This window comes from Homo sapiens, chromosome 8, assembly GCF_000001405.40.
Source record: "Homo sapiens chromosome 8, GRCh38.p14 Primary Assembly".
Classification (NCBI taxonomy): Eukaryota; Metazoa; Chordata; class Mammalia; order Primates; family Hominidae; genus Homo; species Homo sapiens.
This window is the reverse complement of record NC_000008.11, coordinates 76,597,680-76,604,299: the sequence shown is the minus strand read 5'-3', so window position 1 is coordinate 76,604,299 and position 6,620 is coordinate 76,597,680. Positions and strand designations below refer to the sequence as shown.

Genomic DNA, 6,620 nt, shown 5'->3' with positions numbered 1-6,620 from the left:
CAAAATAGGAGTTAAGTAGCAACATAGATTAAAATGCACATTATCCTTAAGCCATTTAATAACTGTTGTCAAAGAATGACTAAAATATAGTTCATGTTACTGGAATGATGCGTCCGTTCAGACGGAGGTGATAATCTGGATCTATACTGTGTTGGTCAGAAAGTTCCTGGAATAATGTTTGGGTGTGGCTGTCATACTTTAAAGGTTACAGACAAATGGGAAATTCTTCCAGGGAAAGCAGCCAGGATGACAAAAGTTCCCACAGAATGTCCTAAGAGAAATGGTTGCTGACTTTGGGGATGTGTAACCTGGGATGGGAGAAGGGAAGAGTCAGAAAAGGCTGACAGTCATCTAGGCCGGAAATCTCAGTCATTCAATATGGCTCCAAAGGAATAAACTATGACTATGGGACTGTCGTGCCCTCGGCATTGTGGAGCACTGGGTGGATGGAAGGTACCACTGGCCAGGGAGGGCCAGAAGCTGCGTCTGCACCAGCGACACTACATCGACAAGCTGGTGGAGGACACGGAGCACTGGCCCAAAGAAAATCTGGAGATCATCTTCACACAGTCTGTGGAGACACTTGGAGTCTGGGGTGACCTGATCTCAGTAAAGAAATCTGTGGATCGGAATCAACTCCTTTCTCAGAGACTGGCTGCATATGCATCACCTGAAAACAAGAAGCTGTTTGAAGAGGAGAAATTGCTGAGACCAGGAGGAAAGTTACAGAAGATCCAGACCAAGGCAGGTGAGGCAACAGTGACATTTCTGAAAAGCTGTCACCTGGAGGTAGGGATGAAGAACAGTGTCAAACGGGAGCTGAACCCTGAAACAGTTGCCTGCCACTTCTTCAAGAATCTTGGTGGTGTGGTCACCCCCATATAATAAAATTACCGGAAGAGCCCCTCACTCGGTGGGGCAAGTACTGTTGTGAGGTGACGGTAAATGGGCTTGGTACTGTGAGGGTGCCTATGTCTCTGGTAAACTTTGAGAGGCCCAAAATCAAAAGATAGAAGTACTGGTTAGCCCAGCAAGCTGCCAAGGGCATGGCCCCACCAGCCTCTAGAGGATCTAAACCTGTTCTCCTCCAAGGCAGCAAAGCAGAATCAGAGGAGCAGTGGGACCCAAACAGGCAAGCACCCTGCTCTCACTCCCAGCTCTGACAAAATATGGAATTTTAGAGAACATATGGAGACATCAGACTGCCCTGCACAGACATGTTGAATTCCTTATATTTGCCATCTTCATCTTTAACTGTCATCCCTGGGGCAGCCTTGTTCCAGAAGTACCAGGCTGTGGATTTGATAAGCTGGATACAATAGACTGAAACTATCCAGATCCTGTTTAGTTTCTTTTTCCACTGGAGTTTACTGGGACAGGCACAGGAGCTAGACATTGTCTCCAGTATTTTCCTCATTCTTATCATCTAAACTGAACATTTGTATCTCAAGCTGACATAAAGAGATTGTGTTCCTAAAAAATAATAAATAAATAAACTACGACTATGGGTAAAAGCTAAGTTTCTTGGGTGAAATAACCTGCTTCAGGAGTTACTAAGTTCTCTGTCACTGGAAGAATTCAAGAGGGAAAAAACAAACAAACGATGGATCGCGTGGTAGGGAAGTTTTAGAGGAATTTCAGGATCAAAGGGGAGACAGAACTAGGTAAGCTTTGGGTCTCTTCTGACACTTGAATTTCATGCTTTGTTAGAAAAGACTGCCAGTCTGCATCTACCAGTTAGAGGGTTTAGGGTCAGCAATTAGGTAGCTATCTCATCTTGTTTGTAATGATAAACATATATTTAATTACAATGTTATCTGGATCTCAGTTGAGGCCTTCCTACACCCCAAGAGCAGAATAAGATAGACCTGAACCCAAAATTCTATGCTCTGAGAAAATTTAAGAAGCAACATAATATGAATGATTGGAGTGGAAGTCAGGCAGGGGGAGGATTTTGCATTCTTAGTATTTCCAGGTTTCTCTTTCTGCTCAGTAAAGCTAAATTTTCTCACTTCTTTCAAAACTAACTAACCAACCAACCAACAACACTCCCACCAACATTAGTGGATTTAGTGAAATTTAATAAAGTTTAAAGTGGGGAGGATTTCTATTGCAGTAAAGTAACTAAATTAGGCACAAGCTATGTCTGATTTAAAAATACGCCTGGGTTAAGCCACCAGGGAATACCACTGGCCTTTTAGTCCATGTTGACCCTATCCTCATACAACTCAATGGCCTTTCCCCCCTCCTCTGCCTCCCCCACTCCATCTCTCCTCCTTAGTCACTATCTCAGGATTGCTCTCAGGAACTCCAGCTTCTTTTCCAAGCTCTCAAACTCTCAAACCTACCTCAGATTCATTATCACGAACCCAAACTTACCCAGGTGCTCGGTAGACATTTTGGAATTAATGAACAATTATTTTTTTCAAGTTTATTATTTTAATTATCATACAGTAGAACTGACTTTTAAAAATACTAAATGTTGGAGGGAAGTTTTTGTCAGACTCAAGACCCTCAAGATTTAAATGGAAAGAGGAAGCACACCGTGGTGCTCTGGGGGAAAATAGACCTTGCTTCCATCATGGTTTCCATTTGACTGGCTGTGCTGCTTTGGGCAGTTTACTGAACTTCCCAGATCTTCAATTCTTCCATCTCCAAATGTGATTGATAGCAATGTGTTCCTCATGGTTTTGTCTAAGTTAAATTAAATAATTCACGTAGAGCATTAGTCTACTCCTTGGCATGTGGTCAGTGTTTTGAAAGTGTTAGCCACCACTATTAATAAAGTTTCCTCAGTCAAACATCTTTTTCAATTTTCTCAACTCACGAAAGATTTTTCAATGTGCACTGAAAATTTAGCTTGAAAGACTTTGAAGCATGTACTAAGGATATTTACTACCAATTTTTTTTGTCTGTCTATCATTTGCCAAACCGTCATCAAGATTTCCTGACAATACATCTCAATAACTTCTGTACTGAAGGCAATTTATGTGACTGGCAGAATAATAGAGGAACTATTAGTAAAATACATTTTATCAATTTTACAACTCTCCCTGCTAGCATGATATCAAGATCTGATACTATGATTCTTAATAACAAAGAAATATTTTGACCTTTGGCAAAATTGTAAATTAGAAATTGTTTAATTTAGCACGAAGTTTCTTTTCACTATCTCTATCCCAGCCTTAGGCTAAGCTCCAGACCTATGCTGTCCAATATGATAACCACTGGTCACATGGGGTTATATACATTTTAATTAAAATGACTAAGTAAAATTTAAAATTCAGTTACTCAGTTGAATTAGCCACATTTCATGTATTCAGTAGCTACATGTGACTAGGGTACTCTCTTGGAGACTGTGCATATGAAGTTTTTTATCTTTGCAGAAAGTTCTATTGGACAGTGCTGCCTGAGACTCAACTGGTACTCTTCTTTAGCCTGGCACCCTCAAAACTACTTCCTGCCTGGTGCCATCACCCCAATACCTTCTCCCTCTGAGATATTCCTGTTCCTTGCTTATATTATCAACTAACAGAAAGTAAGGTGCTGTGGTGCTAATAGGGAGCAAGCTCTGAGATCACTTCCAGGTAAATGAATGTCTCTTCTTTCCTCTTCTACAGCAGTATTTCTCAGAGAGAGGTTCTAGAATGGCTATTTTAATAAACTAGAATGCTTATTTAAATTTGAGATTCTTAGACCCCCACATCGGACCTTCTAAATTTGCATATTGAAACAGCTTCCTCAGTCATTGTTATGGAATGCTTAACGTTGAGAGCTGTTGCTGAAAGATCCAGCCACTATTGGTATTTGATTACCAGGGCCAATACAGTTAGATGTTAGTCTGTATAGAAATGAGCAATGCCAAGTTTTGGTACCTGGGGAACACATTTTTGGAGAAAGATTGGTTTTGTTGCTCTTTAAGATCATATGGTCACCTCCATATAGACTGATCACAGACCAATTGGCTAACATGATTCAATGTGACAAAGTCGACTTACTAATTTTGAAAAAATTTACACTTGAGATTTTTAAAAAGTTAATATTATGGGATACTGTTCACTTTTATAATTTGGTTTTCCATCATTTATAATTTGATTTCATGTGATTTTAAAATTTCCCTTTGAGAAGGAAAGACTTTGAAAGAGGAAACAAAACAGGTAAAAAGTAGACATTACATAAAACTGGAAACTTTTACTAAATAGACAAAAAAAAGTCAAAACTAGAAGCAAAACTAAGCAGTTGGAAAATCCTCTGGCAAGTCTCATCAAAGAAAAATATGTATAATTAAATAATGTTAGAAATAAGAATGGAAAAACATAGAGGCACTACTTAGATGATTAAAAATAATGACTAAGACAATGCGGTAGAAGAATCATAAGCTATGTTTTGTTTGATCAGTTGTCAAGACTTACTATAAAGCTATACTAATTACTGTAGTGCAATTTGCCACAAATAGATGAGAAAAGCAGAACAGAGAACACGGAAATAAGCCTTGAAAGATGAGAGAGCTTCCTGGAGGATAAAGGTGGCATTGCTAAGCACCAGAGAATGATGCTGAAACAAGTGACCATCCACCTGGAAAAATATAACATTAGACCCCTAACTTGCACCATAATACAACTCCAGATGAATTAAAACCCTCGATGTGAAAAATTAACAGTAAAACAATTAGATAAAATATAAGCCATTAAAAATACCACTTTATCCAAATTTATCCACTTGACCTTTTTTATCCTGTTTTCTGATTACATGGGTGAAATACTCCTTCTTCAAAGGCTAATGGTTTTTTTAAAAATTTAATTGTGCACCGGCTCCTCCCTGTTTCTGGTACTCATGCCTGACTCTCCTCTCTCCCCTGTCTCATCAGTTTCTCACCGATTTTATAAAATTGCAACAATGCAGCATGTTCTAACAGCACTCAGCTAAGAAAAAGAAACCTGCTCCAAATCTCCTCTTATCATCTAGTTTCACTTCTCTGTTTGTCTTAAAACAAAATCTATCAGGACTTGTCTTCACTTACCTTCTCTTCTCCCCACAAAACTGTCTGGTCAGGCTTGCATTTCCTCTACTTTGGATGCTACTCTTGACAAGATCACCGCAGACTCCCACCTTGCCAGGTTCAATGGTATATTTCAGTCCTTGTTTTTCTGATCTCTCAGCTGCATTTGGAACAAACTGATCCCATTTTAACATTGCATAATACCTTTCTTTACCTGGCTCCAGAAGTGGATTTTCCATGGAGAAATAAAGCTTAGGTTTGAAAAGAATTACGGATTTTTAATTTAGACATTTTTATTTTCAAAATGGCTCCCCAACTTGTGTTAGCAGCTAGCTTTCCCAAATATCTATGTATTCCTGCTAATGTTATGAATACCACTCCCTTGATTTTTATTGAAGGACAGTAGTTAAAGGCATGGGCTCTGGAATCAGAATGAATTTAAATTATTGTCTATAATTTCTATCTTTTTGAATTGTTTCATATTTTATAATAACGACTATAAATTTGTATAATCTCTTATAATTTTTTATTTTTTAATAAAATAGATTCCTAGAAAAAGGCAAATGATCTGTTTCTTGAAAAGCATAAATTACCAGAATTGACTCAATATTAGAAATAAAGCTTTATTGAAAAGTAAAAAATGACTGTGAAAAAATGTTGAAAAAGTGACTAAAACAGTCAAAGACTTATATACCTTACTAGCAGTCCCTTTCCACAAAATGGACACACTCACATATACACAGGCTCAGATGGTCTTATATGTGCATTTGATCAAATCTATAAAGGGCTTATAATTCCTATGTACTTTAAACTCTTCCTGAACATCAAAAAGTAGTTAGTCAAGAAAACTAAGTAGACTCACTAAAATAGTGTGCCCACTCAGATGATAGAGATACAGAGGTGAAAACTTGGATATTTCTTTAAAACAAGTTCTTTATTATTATCTGAACTATTTGAAAAATAAAATTCCATTATGGAAAAATTGTGACTATAACACACGTTTCTAAAGCAAAGTATAAAGGACAAGATACCTTTTCTGGAATTTTTAAGGACTTTTGGGCAAAACAAGATCTCGTCGGATTTTCTTGCAATGATTGACACAAAGTTTTGCTTATTCTCAATATAAAAGAATTATCTGTCAACGAACACAAGTTCACACATGTACACACACACACACACACACACACGAGTACAATTCATAAAGGTCGGACATAAATCTATTTATTCCATGAAAATAATACAATTTAATACGGTTGAGGACACTGAGAAATGGGTCAAGCCATCTACATATTGCTTACTTGTCTGGAGACCATTAGAAAAACAAGCAGAATTCTGACAAGCTAGGTTAGATACATTTACCTGACAACATTTGCCTATGAATCCCAGAGTTCTTTAATCTAGGAAATAGGAGGAGCAAAGAGCCAAGTAGCCAGAGACATTTAGAAAAGTGTTTTAGCTGAGGAATAGGAATTTTTTTTTTTTTTGACGGAGTCTCGCACTGTCGCCCAGGCTGGAGGGCAGTGGCGCCATCTCGGCTCACTGCAAGCTCCGCCTCCCGGGTTCACTCCATTTTCCCGCCTCAGCCCTCCGCCACCACGCCCAGCTAATTGTTTGTATTTTT

At 38.3% G+C, this 6,620-nt stretch overlaps 1 pseudogene; it reads left to right on the top strand.

Annotated features, from left to right (window-relative positions):
- On the top strand, positions 427-1,473 carry MRPL9P1 (mitochondrial ribosomal protein L9 pseudogene 1; annotated as a pseudogene).